At 39.5% G+C, this 23,004-nt stretch overlaps 1 protein-coding gene across 23 annotated transcripts in view, besides 2 other annotated features; it reads left to right on the top strand.

Moving 5' to 3' along the window:
- Nucleotides 9,349-9,708: a silencer, noted in NCBI's record as "silent region_5994". NCBI's record gives its function as "represses an Ori minimal core promoter by ATAC-STARR-seq in GM12878 lymphoblastoid cells {active_cell/tissue: GM12878}" and the evidence as "EXISTENCE:reporter gene assay evidence [ECO:0000049][PMID:35858748]".
- Nucleotides 9,489-23,004, top strand: part of EML5 (EMAP like 5) — a 180,523-nt gene continuing 167,007 nt past the window's right edge. For 22 of the 23 annotated variants that reach the window (XM_047431057.1, XM_017021065.3, XM_047431056.1 and 19 more), the window contains exon 1: nucleotides 9,489-10,135. In XM_047431057.1, the coding sequence (XP_047287013.1) occupies nucleotides 9,939-10,135 (197 nt within the window). In that variant the 5' untranslated portion in view covers nucleotides 9,489-9,938. Of the gene's footprint in view, nucleotides 10,136-10,164; nucleotides 10,733-23,004 lie in introns of those variants that run through there. The other variant, XM_017021067.3, reaches the window with a different exon arrangement.
- Nucleotides 9,899-9,978: a silencer, noted in NCBI's record as "silent region_5993". NCBI's record gives its function as "represses an Ori minimal core promoter by ATAC-STARR-seq in GM12878 lymphoblastoid cells {active_cell/tissue: GM12878}" and the evidence as "EXISTENCE:reporter gene assay evidence [ECO:0000049][PMID:35858748]".

Genomic DNA, 23,004 nt, shown 5'->3' with positions numbered 1-23,004 from the left:
AGCAGGGAGGAACTGGCTGGAGGTGAGTCTGTTAAAAGAGATGGGAGGCATTGTATGTCACATGAGGAGTTTGTACTTTATACGGCAATTAGATTCTACCCAATGTTTGTTTAAAATTACTTTTGTTACTTTTCCCTAATAATAAAAGCAATGGGTGTGTGTAACTGAGATGTCAGTTTCAACTTCACTACCGCTTGGAGAGTTTAACGTGGCTTGAGCTCCAAGTTTACCAGTTAGAATCCAGGACTTCCCTGCCTGCTCCCCACTGACTTTATTCTTCTCTTCTTGTGGCATTGCTTCCTGCTACATCAACTCACATGAGAAGCCCATTTCTCCAGTTTCCATTTTAAGAAAGAACCCACCTAACATTTCATGAGTTTAGAAATGTTATGTAAGATTTGAAAGGTTTTGGAGAGAGCTACATGGCAGGACTTGCAATTTTGCCATCTCTCTTACTTTCATTCCTCTTTCATCTTCCTGGAGCAACAAATTCTTCCTCATTCTCCCTGCAGAACATTATTGTCCACATTCGGTTCCTTTAAGATCTAATTTTCTATGCCAAGCACTCATTCAGGTATTTTGTTTTTTCTATACAAACATAATTCTTTTCCCATGCAGAATGCTGAAAAACAAAATTATCTCATCTTAGTGTGTGTGTGTGTGTGTGTGTGTGTGTGTGTGTGTGTGTATTTTGAGATAGTGTCTTTGTGTGTCTGTCTGTTTGTGCGTATTTTGATATAGAGTCTCACTCTGTCGCCCAGGCTGGAGTGCAGTGGCACAACTGGCTCACTGCAGCCTTGAACTCCTAGGCTCAAAGGATCATTCTTGCCTCAACCTTTCTAGTAGCTGGGATTATAGGCGTGTGCCACTACACCCAGCTGCTTTTTAAATTTTTTTGTAGAGACAGGGTCTCACTATGTTGCCCAGGCTGGTCTTGAACTCTTGGGATCAAGTGACCCATCTGCCACAGCCTCCTAAATCATTGGGATTATAGGCGTGAGCCACTGTACCCAGCTACAAACACACACACACACACACACACACACACACACACACACACACACGAACACATATATAATTTTTTTTGAGACGGAGTCTCGTTTTGTTACCCAGGCTGAAGTGCAGTGGTACAATCTCGGCTCCCTGCAACCTCTGCCTCCCGGGTTCAAGCAATTCTCCTGCCTCGGCTTCCAGCGTAGCTGGGATTACAGGCATGCACCACTACTCCTGGCTAATTTTGTATTTTTTGTAGAGACGGGGTTTCTCCATGTTGTTCAGGCTGGTCTTGAACTCCCAACCTCAGGTGATCCACCTGCCTTGGCCTCCCAAAGTACTTGGATTACAGGCATGAGCCACCACGCACAACCAACAAGTATATTTAAAAAGAACTTAGAAAACATAGCAAAAATAGTTGAAAAATTACCCATAATGATTATAAAGATTTAAACATAAGACCTAAAACCATAAAACCCCTACAAGAAAACCTAGGCAATACCATTCAGGAGATAGGCAAGGGCAAAACCTTCGTGACTAAAACACCAAAAAAATGACAACAAAAGCCAAAATAGACAAATGGGTCTAATTAAACTAAAGAGCTTCTGCGCAGCAAAAGAAACTATCATCAGAGTGAACAGGCAAGCTACAGAATGGGAGAAAATTTTTGCAATCTATCCATCTGACAAAGGGCTAATATCCAGAATCTACAAAGAACTTAAACAAATTTACAAGAGAAAAACAACTCCATCAAAAAGTGGGCTAAGGATATGAACAGACACTTCTTAAAAGAAAACATTTATGCAGCCAATAAACATGAAAAAAAGCTCATCATCACTGATCATTAGAGAAATGCAAATCAAAACCACAATGAGATACCATCTCATGCCAGTTAGAATGGTGATCATTAAAAAGTCAGGAAACAACAGTGCTGGAGAAGATGTGGAGAAACAGCAACGCTTTTATGCTGTTGATGGGAGTGTAAATTAGTTCAACCATTGTGGAAGACAGTGTGGCGATTCCTCAAGGATCTAGAAATAGAAATACCATTTGACCCAGCAATCCCATTACTGGGTATATACCCAAAGGATTATAAATCATTCTACTATAAAGACACACGCACATGTATGTTTATTGTGGCACTCTTCACAATAGCAAAGACTTGGAACCAACCCAAAGGCCCATCAATAATGATAGACTGGATAAAGAAAATGTGGCACATAAACACCATGGAATACTATGCAGCTATAAAAAAGGATGAGTTCATGTCCTTTGCAGGGACATGGATGAAGCTGGAAACCATCATTCTCAGCAAACTAACACAAGAACAGAAAACCAAACATCGCATGTTCTCACTCATAAGCGGGAGTTGAACAATGAGAACACATGAACACAGGGAGGGGAACATCACACACCAGGGCCTGTCAGGGGTGGGGTGCTAGGGGAGGGATAGCATTAGGAGAAATACCTAATGTAGATGATGGGTTGATGGGTGCAGCAAACCACCATGACACATGTATACCTATGTAACAAACCTGCACGTTGTGCACATGTACCCCAGAACTTAAGGTATAATAAAAAAAATTGCCCATCATATTACAAAACTGTTCACATTTTGGTATCTTTTGATCTAGTCCTCATTATATTATATAAACGGGCTCATTCTATATATATGTTTTTGTATCCTGCTATAAAACATTTACATTCTATTATGGGAAATTTGCAACGTTGCCAAAATTTATCTGCAAAAAAACGCCTAATTTTTGATGGTTTATAATATTTTGTCATACTGGCTGAATCAATTTGCTTAAGGTTTTCTCCGTGGTTGGGCATTTAGGCTTCCATATTTTTTATTGTCCTAAGTTATGCTGTGATAATTTTTTTTTAAAGACAGGGTCTCACTCTGTCACTCAGGCTGGAGTGCAGTGACATGATCATGGTTCACTGCAACCTTGAACTCCTGGGCTCAAGCGATCTTCCTCCCTCAGCCACCTGAGTAGCTAGGACTGCAAGCATATGCCACAATGCCTGGTTAATTGTTTTTTTTTCTTTTTGTAGCAATGGGGTCTCACTATGTTCCTGAACTGGAGCAATTCTCCCCCTTTGGCCTCCCATAGTACAGGGATTACTAGTGTGAGCTACTGTGCCCAGCCTTTTGATAAATATTTGAACATGAATTTCAACATGAATCCTGATTTACATTTTTTTGTTATTACCTTGTGGCAGGTATCCAGATGAGAAATCTGTGGGTCAAAACATAAGAATATTTCAAGGCACAAGATACCTATTCCTAAGTTGCTTATAGCAAATGTTGTTAAAAGAGAGGAATTGGCATGATCAGATAAATGATTTTTTTACAGCTAACTCAGGTGGCAGAATCTAGGGAAAAGATAATTACAGCTTGAACTGAACTGTGGCAGTGGGGATTGGGAAAGCATTGATGTAGAGATGGGGATGCGTTTTAGTAATATTTCTAAAACAGAGCCAAAAGGACTTGGTAACTAAATATTGGAGGTGAGAAACAGTAAGGAACCAAAGGCAACTGCCTATCTTTCCAACCTGCCTCACTGGGGTAATACTGATATTAAAACAGAAAGAGAAGATGGCAAGGTGTGCAGATGTGTAGGACAAGATAATTTGATTAGAGATTTCTTTTATTTGAATTATATATGGTACCAGTTTTTAAAGGCTTTAGGTGGAATCTAATAGGCATTTGAAAATATAGTTAATAGTAGGGAACATCTGCTGGTTGTGCCTGCCTGGCATCTGGTACTAGCTTCAAGATTTTTTTTTTTTTTTCCTGAGGAGGATCTTTGGGTGGCAATCTGGTTAGAAAGAGTACTGTGTTATAGTTGCATTTATTTACCAAACATCTGTTTTACGATTTAGATTGCAGGTGTATTTGGTTTGGTAAATGAAGACTGGGGAATGTTACAGCTCCCAAGTCAGCCCTGTGCAGCCCTGCTGGCCCCCATTCTTTCTTATTCCGGTAATACTATTTTGATTTTCTTTGAGAGGATTCCTCCACCCCTACTCCCCCTTCCTGTGGTTTTGGCGCACCTGGCACTACTCTATGGATCCAAGGGCGGCATATAAGTCAGCCAATCAGAGTTAACCAGGCTAAAGTCTAACAGTTTCCAGGGGAACTGCTGAGAAAAGCTCTTTCCACAGTGATTGCTAAGCGGGTGGGATATAGAATTGGAGTGGCTGGCAGCTGTTTTGCTTGTCTGGCAATGGAGTCTACTCAAAGTAGAACTGAGTTAATTCTGATGATCTGTTTTTTTGTTTTGTTGTTGTTGTGTTTGTTTTGTATTCTTTTTTGAGACAGAGTCTTGCTCTGTTGCCCAGGCTGGAGTGCAGTGGTGCAATCTTGGCTTACTGCAACCCCTGCCTCCCGGGGTCAAGCGATTCTCCTGCCTCAGCCTCCGGAGTAGCTGGGACTACAGGCATGCACCACCATGCCCGGCTAATTTTTTTGTATTTTTAGTAGAGGTGGGGTTTTACCATGTTGGTCAGGCTGGTCTCGAGCTCCTGACCTCAAATGATCCACCTGCCTCAGCCTCCCAAGATGTTGGGATTACAGGTGTGAGCCACTGTGCCCAGCCTGATGACCTGTTTCTGATGACATCACTTGATCCCTAGGATTCAAGTGCATTGATGCCAGTTCTAGAGCTTTTCAGTCTTATGAGGCATTAAAATTCCCTTTTTATCTTAAGCCTTTTGAGTGGGTTTCTGTCACGTACAACCAAAGAAGTCCTGACTAACACAGTATTGGATATCAAATAAGGTTCAAGGCTGGACATAGTGGCTAACGCTGGCTCACACCTGTAATCCTAGCACTTTGGGAGGTTGAGGCAGGAGGATTGCTCAAGTCCAGGAGTTTGAGGCCAGACTGGGCAACATAGTGAGACCTCACCTCTACTAAAAAATAAAAAATTAGCTGAGTGCGGTGACAGATGCCTGCAGCCTCAGGTACTTGGGAGACTGAGGTAGGAGGATCAATTGAGCCTGGGAGGTCGAGGCTGCAGTGAAGTGTGATCACACCACTGTACTCCAGCCTGGGTGACAGAGCAAGACTCTGTCTCAAAAAAAAAAAAAAAAAAAGAAGGAAAGAAAGAAAACTTCCAAGTTTTCAAAGATTTCAAGTATTCAAGATAAAACTAAGAGGAATCCTATTGTGCACAACACAATAGGATTGTGCACAACATTTTCTTTTCTAATTCATGGTTGATAAATATGTAGGGAACAGCTATTGTAGTACCAGGCACTGTGGTAGGCTCTGCATGTACAATAGGCTGATCAAAGGTAAGACTACAGATATATATATATAATATGTTATATATATTATATACATATTATATATATAATATATATAACATATAATATATATAATATATAACATATAATATATAATATATATAACATATAATATATAATATATATAACATATAATATATAATATATATAACATATAATATATATATAATATATAATATATATAACATATAATATATATAATATATAATATATATAACATATAATATATATAATATATAATATATATAACATATAATATATATAATATATAATATATATAACATATAATATATATAATATATAATATATATAACATATAATGTATATAATATATAATATATATAACATATAATATATATAATATATAATATATAAAACATATAATATATATAATATATAATATATAAAACATATAATATACATAATATATATAATATATATAACATATAATATACATAATATATATAATATATAACATATAACATATATAATATATATAACATATAACATATAATATGTATAACATATATAACATATAATATATATTATATATAACATAATATATATAATATATATAACATAATATATATATAATATATATAACATATAAGAGATATAATATATATAATATATATAACATATAATATATATAATATATATAATATATAAACATAATATATATATAAAATATATATAATATATATAACATATAATATATATATAAAATATATAACATATAATATATATATAATATATATAACATATAATATATATATAAAATATATAACATATAATATATATATAATATATATAACATATAATATATATATAATATATATAACATATAATATATATATAATATATATAACATATAATATATATATAATATATATAATATATATAACATATAATATATATATAATATATATAATATATATAACATATAATATATATATAATATATATATACTTTTTTTTTTTTTGAGACAGAGTTTCACTCTTTGTTTCCCAGGCTGGAGTGCGGTGGTGCGATCTCAGCTCACTGCAACCTCCACTTCCCGGATTCAAGCGATTCTCCTGTCTCAGCCTCCCGAGTAGCTGGGATTACAGGCGCCCGCCACCATGCCTGGCAAATTTTTGTGTTTTTACTAGACATGGAGTTTCACCATGTTGGCCAGGCTGGTCTCAAACTCCTGACCACCCACCTTGGCCTCCCAAAGTGCCGGGATTAGAGGTGAGAGCCACCATGCTAGCTAGAAGTAATTGCATGAATTTTTTTTTTTTTTTTCTGAGATGGTGGCCTGCACCACCACACCCGGCTACTTTTTTTTGTATTTTTAGTAGAGATGGGGTTTTGCCATATTGGCCAGGCTGGGGAATTTTGGTTTTTATGTTTTCTACATTTTGCCTTAGATTTCTTTATAAACCTAAGGGTACCTAATCAGTAGCCAGCACATGATTTATTTGCCTGAATTTTAGAAATATTTCAAATATCTCAAATTCCATACTAGGAACTCAAGTTTCAGGAACTAGATTACCAAAGGGGGTGATATGGTTTGGCTGTATCCCACCCAAATATCACCTTGAATTGTAATAATCCCCACATGTCAAGGGTGGTGCCAGGTGGGGATAATTGAATCGTGGGGGTGGTTTCCCCCATACTGTTCTAGTGGTAGTGAATAAGTCTCATGAGATCTGATGGTTTTATAAATGGAGCTCCCCTGCGCAAATTCTTCTTGTCTGCTGCCATGTGCGACTTTGCTCCTCTTTGCCTTCCACCATGATTGTGAGGCCTCCTTAGCAATGCGGAACTGTGAGTCAATTAAACCTCTTTTCTTTATAAATTACCCAGTCTCAGGTATGTCTTTATTAGCAGCATGAGAACGGACGAATACAGGGGGTATTGCAGCCTTCGTCTGGAATGCTTAACAAATGTCCATTTGTTGATGTGTATAATTTTTTGTTTCTTTCTCCCACATCCTTATTTGCATTACTTTCACAGGATACAGATGATGGAATATCACCTAGCAATAGAAGCTTCATTAAGCTTTCTGATGTGACATTGGTAATACTGGATTATATAAAGTTGTGAGGGTAAGAACTGATCAGGTTTGTTTTTTTCTTCCTCTAGTATTCATGAATGGTTCATTTTCTAGCCACCTTTGTGCCTCGGCTGTCTCTTTTGGTCTTGAGTCGCCAGTTGAGGATGGTTTAATTAAGAATGTTTTTGCTTCGCACTCTACACTTGGGTCATTAAAATCGTAATGGAAAATATGATAATGGGAAAATAAATTACTTAAATCTCTTATTAATCTGAGTACTTAAGTGTGTATCATGGGATCCATAAGATATTGTGCTGAAAAATCCGAAACATAGAAAAAACTATATTCTTCCATCTCGTCTCATAAAATTTACATGTAACCAGTAATTAATATATCACAAATGTATAGCAACAAATATTTAATGTTTTCTAAGTTCACTGCTTGAATTTAAATAATCAACAATTTTTCTTTTTCTCACCAGGGGATTTCAAGGAACTCACTAGTGAATTAGAACATATTCTTATTAAAAAACAGAAAACGCCCTCCTGGTGACAAAGAGAAACTGTGTGTGCTTTTGCCCAGGGTACCCTACATGGGCCTTAGAGCCACTTCTCAGGCCTGATTTCTTTGTTTATTTGCAGCAGCTGCCAGAAAGCTATTCCTCTTTTTCAGATTCTGCCCAGAATGGAAACTCTTTCAGAGTTTACTTTTCATGACATCTATGTAAATTCCTTTCAGATGGCCTTTATTTCCTGCATGTAAACTGCTTGCAGATTAGAAGTCATAATCAAAGACGAAACGGTAATCCTGTCTCAAGTTAGTAACTGGCATCTTTGAGGAAGTAGACATTGGATAACATCTATTCCAATATATCTGTACCACACAGGAGTCAACCCCTTTTGGAGTCATATTTCTTGAAACGATGGTAGTTTATTTTAGCTTTTGTCAGATTTCTGTCTTGGTATTTCCTATGGAAATCAAACAGTAATTTTTAGACAATAAGGGTTCATATTGGTATATCCTGAATTAGTATTTTTTTGTTGTAAATCTTGTGGCCATCCTGAACTTAACACTTTTTAAATTGTGGATTTCCAATTATTTTTAGAGGTATTGATAAATCTTGTTCATATTCCTGTGAGAAGAGGACACAACTGAGTAGGAGGGGAAATGACATAGTCAGGAATTGATTGTTCCCAATACTTTTATTACAGGAGTTTTCTACAGGATCACAATTGAATTTATTTAATTAAGAGTAACTGTTGGTGATGTCCCAGTCATTTTTAAAAAAATCGAAGTACAATTTTTTTTTTTTTTGCTATTCGGAAATCAGATCTCACATGTCAGTTTACCATCTAAAGTCTACCTTCAGCTTTGCGGTCACTTAAGAAAACATACACTTAGGACCAGGAGCAGTGGATTGGGCCTGTAATCCCAGCGCTTTGGGAGGCCTGAGGCAGAAGAACTGCTGAAGGTCAGGAGGTGGAGACCAGCCTGGGCAACACAGCAAGACCCCCGCCTCTACAAAATAAACTTAAAAACAAAGCAAAACATTTGCCGGGCATAGTGGTACGCAACTGTACTCCTTACTACTCCGGAGACTGAGGCGGGAGGATCGCTGGAGCCCAGGAGTTGGAGGCTACAGTGAGCTGAGACTGCGCCACTCCACTCCAGCCTGGGCGACAGAGCGAGGCTCTGTTTCTAAAAATAATAATTTAAAAGCACATTTAGGAAGCTCGGCATCATTCCAATGTCTGGGTCCGAAAGCACTATAAGGCAGCAAGACACACAAGGTATCAAGCGTAAAAAAGAGAATTTAGCATCCCGGTGTGGATTTTCCCAGGCAAAAACGTGGCCTACGCTGGGTGCAGGGACCGTGCGGAACCGGCAGGTGCTTCCCGGTTGAGGACGCAAAGCAGCGGGAGCCCGGGGTCGCCGAGGGTCCGCCTGGGCTTAAGCAGCTCAACGAGGGAGGGCTCACCGGCCCGCGCACTTGCAGAGACGCGGTCCCAGCGACTCCGCAACTAGACCGTGGCCCCGCGAACTCCAGCCTCTTCTCGGCTCCGGGAGGGGCGGAGTGAGCGCGGGAGGGGGCGGGGCCACGCAAGGCCGCGCGCCCGCCGCTCGGCTCGGCTCGGCTCGGCTCGCTCGGTTTCGGGGTGCGCGGCGCGGGTCCGCCAGGCTGTGGCTACAAAGCCGCGGCGGGGCGCGAGCGCCGCAGGTGACCGGGGCTGGGAGCTGCGTGCGCGGGCGGCGGCTGAGGAGCTGGAGGCGGGCCCTCGCTCTCGGCCCAGGCGCTACGGGCTGAGGAGACTAGGCGAGCCGAGGCGGGCGAAGGGCTCTGGGCATCCACTTGACAGCCGGCGGCGCTCGCGGCCCTCAGCATGTTCCGCGAGGCGAGGGTTTTCCTCCCGCCTGTGGGCTGAGGCGGCGGCGGCCCCCGAAACGAGATGCACCTGACGGGCGCGGCTTAGAGGACGCGGCTGGCGGGAAGTCCCGGCAGCCAGCGGGAGGGCTTTCGTTGCCGGGCCGCCGCCGCCTCCCGTCGCCGCCGCGGGCCCGAGCGGGAGCGGCGGGTGGGCGCCCCGACATGGCGGCCCGGAGCGCCCCGAGCTGCCACCTGCGGCTCGAGTGGGTGTACGGCTACCGGGGCCACCAGTGCCGCAACAACCTCTACTACACTGCGGCCAAGGAGATCGTATACTTCGTGGCGGGGGTCGGCGTGGTGTACAGCCCGCGGGAGCACAGGCAGAAGTTCTACCGGGGCCACAGCGACGACATCATCAGGTACCGGGGAGCGGGGGCCGCCGCCGTCACCCTGCAAGCCGCTCCCGGAGTTTGCACCCGCGGGTTCCTCTGGACGCCGTGACCGCTCCTGCACGGAGCATCACCCCGAGGGGAATCCGCAGCTGTCTCTCTGGTCCCGAGTCCACCAGTTAACACCCTACAAATGCCTTTCCCCTCTTCCTCGTCTAGGGACTCTCTCTCGGGTCCGTGCAGGAAGATCAGGTCCGCGGATCCACCGGGCACCCGGTTTGACGGCTTTGTCCCCTTTCCCACTCCATCACAATTACGAAAACTGCGAAAAGGTTATTTTGGTGGCACTTTATTCCGTTAGATCCTGTGAGAAATTTCTTATTAAACGCATTCTTAAAGCACCCGGGGTGGGGGGAAACCCTTTACCTAATAAAGGACTGATGGAAGCACAGCAAGCGGTGGGCTGCTCCCGGGGAGCGCGCCCAGGGTGGCGTCCTGAAGGGCTCTCACCTCCTGGCCGTAATTATTAGTTCAGGTTTCACCGCCTGCTATAATCAGCAGAAACCCCAGGCAACCTCCAGGCAATTCACTGGATGTTAAAATGTGCACACCTGAAGGCAATTTAAGGTAGGTCTTATCTGAAGAGGCTGCTGAAAACTTCACTGATTTCCAGTTCTCTTCATCTTCATTAAAATACTCCTAAATAAGCTACTTTTGTATTTTCTTAAAATTAAATCGCTATTGGGGGGCTATTTTTAGTCTTCCTTGGACAATAACTCAAAGTTGGTCCCAGAGCTTGTTGACATTTCTTTAGTGAGCGGTATATTTGAAATGTAATTTTCAATCAGTGTCTTAGTACAACTTTTATGGTAAAGTCAAGAGCTTCAGAAATCATTCTAGGCCACTGATTATTGCCTCAAGCACAGCATTTTTTGTCCTTTACAGAGGAAAATATATTAAAAGCAATTGAGAATGTGTTTGTGTGGTGCTCTTGGGGTTTTATCAAAGATTCTACGATTTGGGTTTGGTTACAAAATGTTATTCCCTCATGTATGTTGCACAGGATTTAAATTGGGCATTTCAAATACGGTACCTTGGTTTGAAGTCTTGTAGGCAAGAAGCCCTGGTATGTAAATTCCACAAATAAAGTTGTTCTTCTGTTTTGCGTCTCTGTACATCTATAATATGTAAGAGGGAAAGGATGCCTAGGACAAACAGAGGTAGGGCAAGATGGAGTAAAGATAAGAAAAGACAAAATTGAGATTGCAGAGTAAGGAATGAGGTGGTGCTCTGTATTCAGTTGGTTTTTTTTGTTTGTTTTTGTTTTTTGGACACCAGAGTGCTTTTTCAGATTGTATTTAATGTATTACTTTGAAAAGGTAACTGATAAGTCATTTCATTTTTCTCAAGCTGGGACTCTGTATCGTGGTGATTAGGGTTACAGACCTATTATAATAGCCCAAATTGCTGATGGAAAAACAAAACTAAAGTAAACCCGTAGTAATTATTTATCTTCTTAGTTATCCCAAGAGTAGAGTTTACCCCAGTGTCTTGTCTTTTTCCCTAATCCTTTCAAGTCTCCCTTCTTTTCCATATGCTAGGTCTCCCAAAGTACCAGGCATAGTAGCTTTACCTAGCTGGAGCAGCCTTAACTGAAGCCCTGCTCCAGATAATTTAGTCTGTTAGGTTGAATTCAGCTGGTGGAGTAAATGTGAAGGATTTTGAGGTCTTCTCGTGGTACACTTGTATTGTTTTTACTCCTTGGGGGTTATGAGAGCAGTATAGCACTAAGGTCTTCTGAAACTAGATATGATTTATTTGGTGAGGTAAATTACATCTTGTTCTTCTAGCAGTAATTAGAAGCTGTGTTATATGTCACACCGCTTAAATTTCATAATTGTGTTTCAGTAAACTGTAAGGAAGGTAATGCTTTGACTTTCTTTTGGTATAGTTGCACAACTTATACAAAACAACAAACATACTCGAATTTCTCATCGTTGAATATACATGCTTATGATTTTATCCAAATGACACATCTTTAATGTATAACAATGAAAATAAGTTTCCTGAAAAGTTTCAATGAGGGAGTAAAATCTGAATCATACAGCATCTTGAAATTGGTGGCACAAATTTAATATGATACTGAGAATATAATTTAGGAATCAGTGAAAGGGCTCTGGACATTTTATTTCAAATAGTAATGACAGATCATTCATGTTTGTGAAATATATTGAGCTAATATTAAAACCTCAATATTTTTTCAGTTCAGTGTTTGACTTGTGAGTATAGAAACAACTCTAGTAATTTTTAAATTATGCCACAGCAGAAGATGTAATATTCACAAATGTGATGCATAGTGAAAACCAATGTTGCTGTAACCTTAGCTTTAGTAATAAAAAGTCAGTGCTGTTTTCATCATCTGTTTTGTTTCCACCTTTGCCTGAAACTTATGTAAAACTTATTGGTCAAATATTACTTAGTCTGAGGATAGAACTGTTCCAGAATGAGCAGATCATTGTCCTCAGGTTTTGAAAATGTGAGTGCAATGTTGGTGGTAAAGGCTGAATCATGACTAGTCTATCATTTGCTTACTGGTTCTTTGACCATTTTATTATCACCTGGGATTGCCAGTGGTGGTGCCACATGACATTTCATCATTTTCTCAGTAAAGGCTGAATCATGACTAGTCTATCATTTGCTTACTGGTTCTTTGACCATTTTATTATCACCTGGGATTGCCAGTGGTGGTGCCACATGACATTTCATCATTTTCTCAGTAAAGGCTGAATCATGACTAGTCTATCATTTGCTTACTGGTTCTTTGACCATTTTATTATCACCTGGGATTGCCAGTGGTGGTGCCACATGACATTTCATCATTTTCTCAGTGTTGCTTGTAGTTCTCCATCTTCTTTTTGCCATCTACTTGTGTATACTTCTCTAGTCATTTATCTTTTAGTTATATTTATCTTAGTAACTGGTTTATATGGCAATTAGTTTCAATGTCAGAAATAATATAGGGCTTTTGGGGTCACTTTTTTGTTCTTTTTCTCAAGTTATATTGATAAAATTCTCCAGTTATTCTATCAATATAAAATCTATAAATCTATAAAATCTGTATCTATAAAAATCTCTAGTCTAGATTTAAGACTAAGTTATAAAATAAGCTACTACCAGTTTTAGCATAAGATGCACATCTATACCTTGGTCTATATTTTGAAACTTTTGCCAGTTGTTACAAGAATGCGATAGCTTTTTTTTTTTTTTAAACTGAGACAGGCCCTTGCTCTGCGTCACACAGGCTATAGTGCAATGGTGCAATCACTGCTCACTGTATCTTTGAAATCTTGGGCTCAGGTGATCATCCCACCTCAGCCTCCCCAAGTGGCTGAGACCACAGATGTGGGCCATGATGCTGGGCTATTTTTTTTTTTTTTTCGGTAAAGATGGGGTCTCTGTATGTTGCCCAGGCTGGTGTGCTGGACTCCTGGGCTCAAGTGATCCTCCCACTTCCGCCTCCCAAAGTGTTGGGATTACAGATGTGAGCCACCGTGTGCAGCCAGAGTGCAATATCTTTTCAAATTTATTATTCTAGGTACTTCCCGTAAGCAAATTTTTGCAAGATTGTTCTTAAGGATATTATTGAGAGTTTACAAATAATCTATACCAGTGAAGACCATTGATGGAATATAATTAACTTGGGGCATTTTGTTATTTGACTCTGCTTTCCTTATGGGAGTCAGAGCCCATTGTTTATGTATTAAGTAGGTATAGAATTTAGAGTACTTTTTTTTTTTTTTAACATAGTGAAAGGGTCTCACCAGTTGGTGATGAGCTCAAATGACGATGCATCTGAAATATTTTGAAAAGTATACCACACTATATGGTTGCAGGTTAAAATAATAACTGTTCATTGCTTCTATGTATGGCTTTTTTAAAAGACAAAATGAAGGGTGTAGAAGCTATTTTCTTTATTTGTGGTAAATCGTGTTCTTAAGAAAAAATACTGACCAAGTCTTATTGTAGTTTAGTAAAAGTGGTTTTTGACAGCTCAGTATTTATGGTATAGAAACTTAATTTATTCAACGCAAGTCAAAATTGTAATTGGAAAAGCGATTCAGAATAACATTTGCACGGTAGATAGATTTTTTTTGTGTTTATATGGGTTCAGAGTAGCAACTTTTTAAGCTCTGGTAGGAATTACTGGAAACCTACTTGTAGTCTACTTAATGCTTCTAGATACATGCTCATGATTTCCCAAACCTGGCTTATCTTCAAAATAGTTTGAAGAGCTTTTCACCAGTTTCTAGCCTTTTGCTCAAACGCACAAAGTCAGAATCTTCTAGGGTTGGAGCCCAGGAATCTATTTTTTAAAAAGTGCCTCAGATTATTCTGTTTGGGAAACACATTGCCCCCACCATGCCTAGAATTCTTAACACAAGCCGTTTGAGAAATGGGCACAAACCCTCTCCTCAAACCTGATACCAGAGTTTTCTTAAGCACTGTGCAATATGTAGAAGTAGTGCTTCAAAAAGTATTAGAAAACATATTTAATAAAATGTCCCTGTGCTTAAGTAACTAGAATTAGATGGACTTAACATTTATTTATAGACCATGTAACAATTATATTTGGTAAGATTTCATTTTATGTGTTGCAATATCAAAATATTTATGGTTTTTTAAATATTGCATAATTTAAGGGATAAAATTAAGAGATGTTTTCCAGGAAAAGTAGGAATTAACTAGAATAATAGTTGAAGTTGTAATAGATGTGTATTAAGTATATATTCTTTAGGGAGAAGCCAGATTATTAGATTTACATTTAATTATTTTCCTTTATTATTTTATAATGTCTTATGTGCAAATATGCAGACAATTAATAAAACATGTTTTGGATATACATTAAGGAAAACGTGGAATAATGAATTATTAGAAGCTATTAAGAACTTTTATTTCAAAGTTTTCTCATCCAAGAAATATTTGTTGAGCTTCTGTTTTGTGCAAGAATCCCTGCCTTAAGATACTCAGAGTTTAGACACAATCAGATGCTCAATGAGCATATGTATACTAGGAATAGCACTAATGTACCTGTGATATGGTATGTACATGGGGATATAAAAAGTTCACAGTGTTTCTTATAGAATATAATACCTAAGCTAAGTCTTTGAGGACAATAGGGAGAAGGGTCATCAGAAGAAATGAAAGAAGGTATAGCATTCTGGGAAGAGGTAACATTGTGTGCAGTGGTTTTGTGTTATGAGAGAATATTTGAAGAATTTGCTTATACTATCTTCAGTTCCTTTTCTCCCATTTACTCTTGGCTTTGTTCTGTTTCACCATAGCAGTTCTTGTTGAGGTTACCAGTGACCTCTGCATTGCCAAATCCAGTGGTTATCAGTTCTCATCTTATTTGATTTTTCATCATGATTTGACATAGTTGGTTCATTAGTCCGTTTTCATGCTGCTGATAAAGAGATACCTGAGACTGGGAGGAAAAAGAGGTTTAATTGGATTGACAGTTCCACATGGCTGGGGAGGCCTCAGAATCATGGTGGGAAGTGAAAGGCAGTTCTTACATGGCGGCAGCACGAGAAAATGAGGAAGATGCAAAAGCCGAAACCCCTGATGAAACCATCAGATCTCGTGAGACTTACTACCATGAGAACAGTGTGGGGGAAACTGCCCCCATGATTCAAATTATCTCCCACTGGGTCCCTCCCACAACACATGGGAATTATGGGAGTACAATTCGAGATGAGATTTGGGTGGGGACACAGAGCCAAACCTTATCAGTTGGTTACACCTTCTTAAGACCCTTTCTTAAGTGGCATTTAGGACATATCTATTTCTTGGTTTACTTGTTCTTTCAGCAAATATTTACTGAACACCTATTATTTGCCAAAGACTATTCTTATCACTAGAGATATGGCAGTGAACCAAACAGATAAAATTGCCCACCCTTATGGAGCTTTTATCTACTGGGTGGGGAGACACAGAATAAAGAAGGTAAATTTTATATATGTGTGTAAATTTTTATATATGCATGTATATATGTATAGTTTGTAAGAGCTAAGGAAAAGAAGGTGAGAAAATGCGATAGAAACTATTGGGAAGAGTTTAGATAGGTATTTAGATAGGGTGGCCAGGAAGACCTCACTGTAAAGGTGACACTTAAGTAGAGACTAGGAGGTGAGGTAATGTGCTGTGTGGAAAGGACATGTTAAGTAAAGGGACTATCAAATGCAAATGCCCTGAAGCAGAATGCCAGTATTTTTGAGGAATAGTAAGAATGTTAGTGTGGCTGGAGCAGAGTGAACTTGAAGGAAAGTAGTAAGAAATGAGGTCTGATGAGCTATGGTGGTGGGGGCAGATTTTATAGGCTATTGAGAGGATTTTCACTTTCCCATCTGAGAATGGAAGTTATTGGAACTATTTAATCAAAATAGTGACATAATTTGACTTACGGTTTAACAAAGTCACTCTGGCTCCTATGTTGAGAACAGACTGAAGAGAGGCAGGGGCAGGATGGAAGCAGGGAGACCACTTAGGAGACTGTTGCAGTAATCCAGTCAGGAAGTATTGGTGGCTTGGACTGGGGTGGTAACAGTGAAAGTAGTGACAAAAGAGCAAATTTTTATGTATTTTGAAGATAGAGGTAGCATGATTTACTAATGGATCACATATAAATTGTGAGAGAAAAGAAAGGTCAGTGATGATCACAGAATTTTTGGTCAGAACAATTGGAAGAATGGAGTTGCTGGCTACTGAATTGGGAAACAGTGTTGGAAGAGCAAGTTTTATATTTTGGACAGAAGGAAAGATCAACAGCTCTGTTTTATTTTACTAAATTTATTTTAAATTTTTGTGGTTACAGAGTGAGTTTATCTATTTATGGGGTACATGAGATGTTTTGATACAGGCAAGCAGTGTGAAATAATCACATCAAGAATTGGGTATCCTTCCCCTCAAGGCTTTATCCTTTGTATTACAAAGAATCCAGTTGCAACCTTTTAGTTATTCTAAAATGTACAATTAAATTATTACTGACTATAGTCACCCTGTTGTGCCATCAAATGGTCTTATTCATTCTAACTCTTTTTTTGTACCCATTAACCATCCCCACTTCCCCCTGAGTCCTCCACGACCCTTTCCAGCTTCTGGTAACCATCCTTCTACTCTATGTCCATTAGTTCAGTTGTTTTGATTTTTAGATCCCACAAATAAGTGGGAACATGCGATGTTTGTCTTTCTTTGCCTGGCTTATTTCACTTAACAATCTCCAGTCCCATCCATGATGTTGCAAATGACAGGATCTCGTTTTTTTATGGCTGACTAGTACTCCATTGTGTATATATACCACGTTTTCTTTATCCATTCATCTGTTGATAGACTCTTAGGTTGCTTCCGAATCTTAGCTATTGTGAACAGTGCTGCAACAAACATTGGAGTGTAGATATCTCCTTGATATCCTGATTTCCTTTCTTTTGGGTATATGCCCTGCAGTAGGATTGCTGGATCATATGGTAGCACTATTTTTAGTTTTTTGAGGAACCTCCAAACTGTTCTCCATAGTGGTTGTACAAATTTACATTCTCCACATCCTTTCCAGCATTTGTTACTGCCTGTCTTTTGGATATAAGTCATTTTAACTGGGGTGAGATGGTATCTCATTGTAGTTTTGATTTGGAATTTTTATTATGGCTTTGATCTTGTTATTTGTTATTGGTCTGTTCATGTTTTGGATTTCTTCCTGGTTCAATCTTGGTAGGTTGTATATGTCTAGGAATTTGTTCATTTCTTTTAGATTTTCAAATTTAGTGGCATAGAGTTGGTCATAGAAGCCACTAATGATCCTTTGAATTTCTGCAGTATCAGTTGTAATGTCTCCTTTTTCATTTCCAATTTTATTTGTATCTTGTTTTTTTTTTCTTAATGTGGCTAAAGGTTTGTCAATCTTGTTTAACTTTTTAAAAAAAAACAACTTTTTGTTTCCTTGAAATTTTGTATTGGTTTTTTAAAATGTCAATGTCATTTATTTCTGCCCTGATCTTATTTCTTTCTACTAATTTTGGATTTGGTTTGCTCTTGCTTTTCTAGTTCTTTAAGATGTATCATTAGATTGTTTATTTGAAGTTTTTCCTTTTTTTTGATGTAGGCACTTACAACTTTAAACTTCCCTTTGAGTATTGCTTTTGCAGTATCCCATAGGTTTTGTTATGTTGTTTCCACTTACATTTGTTTCAAGAAATTTTTCAGTTTCCTTTTTAATTTCTTCATGGACCCACTGGTCATTCATGAGCATATTGTTTAATTTCCACGTATTTGTATTCCTCTTGTTATTAATTTCTAGTTTTATTCCATTGTGGTCAGAGAAGATGCTTGATATTATTTCAATGTTTTTCAACATTTTAAGACTTGTCTTATGACCCAACACACAGTCTATCCTTGAGAATAATCCATGTGCTGAGGAAAAAAATGTGCATTCTGTAGCCATTGGATGAAATATTCTGCAAATATCTATTAGATCCATTTGGTCTATAGTGCACATTAAGTCAGATGTTTCTGTGTTGATTTTCTGTCTGGAATATCTGTCCAGTGCTGCAAATGGGTTGTTGAAATCTCCAGCTATTATATTGGGGCCTGTCTCTCTCTCTAGCTCTAATAATACTTGCTTTATATATCTAAGTGCTCTAGTGTTGGGTGCGTATATATTTAAAATTGTTATATCTTCTTGCTGAATTGACCCCTTTGTCATTATACGGTGACTTTGTCACTTGTTTTTTTACTTCAAATCTACTTTTTCTGGTATAAATATAGCTACTCCTGCTCTTTTTTGGTTTCTATTGGCATGGAATATCTTTTTCCATCCTTTTATTTTCAGTCCGTGTGTGTATTTATAGGTGAAGTGTGTTTCTTGGATCAGTGGAAGCTCCATTGATCTGTTCCATTGGATCTTCCATTGATCTGTTCATCCATTCACCTACTCTATTTCTTTTGATTGGAGATTTTAGTCCTTTACATTTACACCATCCTCCAGACTGTGGCTGTCTTTTCACAGCTCTACTAGGCAGTGCCCTAGTGAAGCTGTGTAGGGGATCCAACCCCACATTTGTGTGTGGGGGCTCCAACCCCACATTTCCTTTATGCACTTCCCTAGCAGAGGTTCTCCATGAGGGCTCCGCCCCTGCAACATACCTCTACCTGGACGTCCAGGCATTTTCTTTTCTTTCTTTCTTCTTTTTTTTTCTTTTTTTTTGACATGGAGTCTCACTCTGTCTTGCCCAGGCAGGAGTGCAGTGGCTCAATCTTGGCTTACTGCAACCTCCAGCTCTTGGGTTCAAGCGATTCTTCTGTTTCAGCCTCCTGAGTAGCTGGGACTACAGGTGTGTGCCACCACACCTGACTAATTCTGTATTTTTTGTAGAGACAGAATTTCACCATGTTGGCCCGGCTGATCTTGAACTCCTGACCTCAGGTGATCCACCCACCTCAGCCTCCCAAAGTGCTGGGATTACAGATGTGAGCCACCGTGCCCGATCCAGGCATTTTCATACATTCTCTGAAATCTAGGCAGAGGTTCCCAAACCTCAGTTCTTGTCTTCTGCACATTTGCAGGACCAACACCATGTGGAAGCTGCCAAGGCTTGGGGCTTGCACCCTCCAAAGCCATGGCCTGAGCTGTACCTTGGCCTCTTTTAGCCACAGCTGGAGTGGTGGGGACACAGGGCACCAAGTCTCTAGGCTGTATGTAGCAGAGGTGTCTTGGACCTGGCACAGGAAACCAGTTTTTCCTCTGAGGCCTCCGAGCCTGTGATGGGAGGGGCTGCCGCAAAAGTCTCTGACATGGCCTGGAGACGTTTTCCTCTTTGTCTTTGTGATTAGCCTTTGGCTCCTCGTTCTTATGTAGATTTCTGTAGCAGGCTTGAATTTCTCCCCAGAAAATGGGTTTTTCTTTTCTACTGCATCATCAGGCTGAAAAATTTCCAAACTTTCATGCTCTGCTTCCTCTTGAATTCTTTGTCGCTTAGAAATTTCTTCCACCAGATACCCTAAATCATCTCTCTTAAGTTCAAAGTTCCACAGATCTCTAGGGCAGGGGCAAAATGCTGCCAGTCTCTTTGCATAGTAAGATTGATCTTTACTCCAGTTCCCAACAAGTTTCTCTTCTCCATCTGAGACCACCTCAGGGTGGACCTTATTGTCCATATCACTATCATCATTTTAGACAAAGCCATTCAACAAGTCTCTAGGAACTTACAGACTTTCCCACATCTTCCTGTCTTCGGAGCCCTCCAAGTCTTTAGGAAGTTCCAAACTTTCCCACATTTTCCTATCTTCTTCTGAGCCCTCCAAACTGTTCTAGCCTCTGCCTGTTACCCAGTTACAAAGTCACTTCCACATTTTTGGGTATCTTTACCAATTTACTGAATTAGTTCGTTCTGACACTGCTAATAAAAACATAATCAAGACTGGGTAATTTGTAAAGGAAAGAGGTTTAATTGACTCACAGTTCTGCAGGGCTGGAGAAGCCTCAGGAAACTTACAATTATGGCAGAAGGGGAAGCAAACATGTCCTTCTTCACATGGTGGCAGCAAGGACAAGTGCAGAGTGAAGAGGGGGAAAAGCCCTTTATAAAATCATCAGATCTCATGGGAACTCACTATCATGAGAACAGCATGAGAGTAATCGTCACCATGATTCAGTTACCTTGTCCAGGTCCCTCCCATGTCTGGGGATTATGAGAACTACAAATCAAGGTGAGATTTGGGTGGGGACACAACTAAACCATATCAATAAGAAATGCAAAGAGGGGATAAGGATATACAAAAGAAGTGACTATTTTTAGTAATTATAATTAGTGGTAGTATCATTGGTATTGTTATTCTGAGTCTGTGGTGTGTGCAAGGTGGGATAAAACAAATCAGTAATTTGGGGACATTCTGATTTATAAATCTATTACATTTGAGAACCAAAATTCTCAGGATGGAAGAAAAAAAATCAGATGTAAGTGTGAAGAACTGTGAAAGTTCTGCAGTTTTACCCTACTGGAAAGTTACTAGGAGCCTATCACAATTTCTTAGATGCTGACAGAACACACCAGCTTCTGGGTCAGAGACAAAAGGATTTATCACTTTGTATATGCACAGAAAACAGCATGAGCATTGTATTTGTATCAGTCATCTTTGCCCGCCTAAACCCACAGGGTGATATAGAGGAGCCTAAATTGTGAGTTTACATCACAGCTAAGTAACCTGGAGTTTAGGGAAACTGAATCTTTTATAATAGACTGCAAACAAACCTGCTTGTGATGGTTAGTTTTCTGTGTCATCTTGGCTAGGTTATATAGTACCAGATGATTTAATCAAACATTAAGTGAGCTGTGAAGGTATTTTATAGATATGATTAACATCTTATCAGTTGGCTTTCAGGAAAGGAGATTATTCTTTATAAGGGGCCCCACTCAGCCAGGTGCAGTGGCTCACACTTGTAATCCCAGCACTTTGGGAGGACAAGGCAGATGGATCACGAGGTCAAGAGATCGAGACCATTCTGGCCAAGATGATGAAACCCCGTCTCTACCAAAAATACAAAATTAGCTGGGCATGATGGCGCGCGCCTGTAATCCCAGGTACTTGGGAGTCTGAGGCACAAGAATTGCCTGAATCTGGGAGGCGGAGGTTGCAGTGAGCCAAGATCGCGCCTCTGCACTCCAGCCTGGATGACACAGTGAGTGAGACTCCATCTTAAAAGAAAAAAAAAAAGATTTTTTATAAACATCAACTGCTGCCCTGCCCTGTGGATTTTAGACCTGTCGATCCTCACAGTCATGTGAGCCAATTCCTTGAAATAAATCCATTTGTATGTATTCTATTCTGTTTCTCTGCAGAACCCTGACTGATAAAGTGTCCTTTGTGCTGGAGAGAGATACATTTATTATACTGAACAGTAAACAAATCTACCCTTTGTGCAGAGGGAGATATTATCTTTATTTTTCAAGTCTGTTTGCTATACAAATATCCTCCAAAAAATAGCCTAGAACAAAGACAGTCAATACCTCTGCATTCAGAATTTTCAGAAACACGGGCTGGGTGTGGTGACTTATGCCTATAATCTCAGCACTTTGGGAGGCTGAGGCAGGTGGATCACTTAGAGGTCAGAAGTTCAAGACCAGCCTGGCCAACATGGTGAAACCCCATCTGTACTAAAAATACAAAAATTAGCTGGATGTGGTGGTGTGCTTCTGTAATCCCAGCTACTTGGGATGCTGAGGCAGGAGAATCTCTTGAACCTGGGAGGTGGAGGTTACAGAGTGAGCCGAGATTGCACCACTGTACTCCATCCTGGGCAACAGAGCAAGACTCCATTTCAAAAAAAAAAATTTTTTTTCAGAAACATGAGAGATCCATAGAGAATTATTTCCTCACAGTAACATAGAAGTAAAAATTTTGTAGTTCTGGATTTGAATTGGAAATGTCCATATGAACTCACAATGTATCATATATGCATTTTTTAACCTAGTTCTATCCACTGAAAGTTTACAAAACTGTGACAAAGCCAGTATAGATAGCAAGTCCCAGACTCTGGTCTTAAAATTCATTCCTCAAGATAAAAACTAAGGATTAATGGAGAAACAGCTGATCCTGGTTTGCGCCTAGAATATCTTGACATCAGAGAGCAGAGGATATATAAAAGACTAGTAGGGTGACAAACAAAGTTCCAAGGAGGCAATATGAAGTGACTTCTACATGGGACAATTTGAGCTTTTTAATTAGGGTAAGAATTGCAGTAAATTCAAGTTCAAGGTAATTGGTCACCTTCTAAAGATGACAGAGAACCAACTCATTTTCTTGGGGATGATGTAAATGAAAGACGTGCCATTATCCCTTGTTAGCCTTTA

Source organism: Homo sapiens, chromosome 14, assembly GCF_000001405.40.
Source record: "Homo sapiens chromosome 14, GRCh38.p14 Primary Assembly".
NCBI lineage: Eukaryota > Metazoa > Chordata > Mammalia > Primates > Hominidae > Homo > Homo sapiens.
This window is presented reverse-complemented; position numbering and strand designations above follow the sequence as displayed.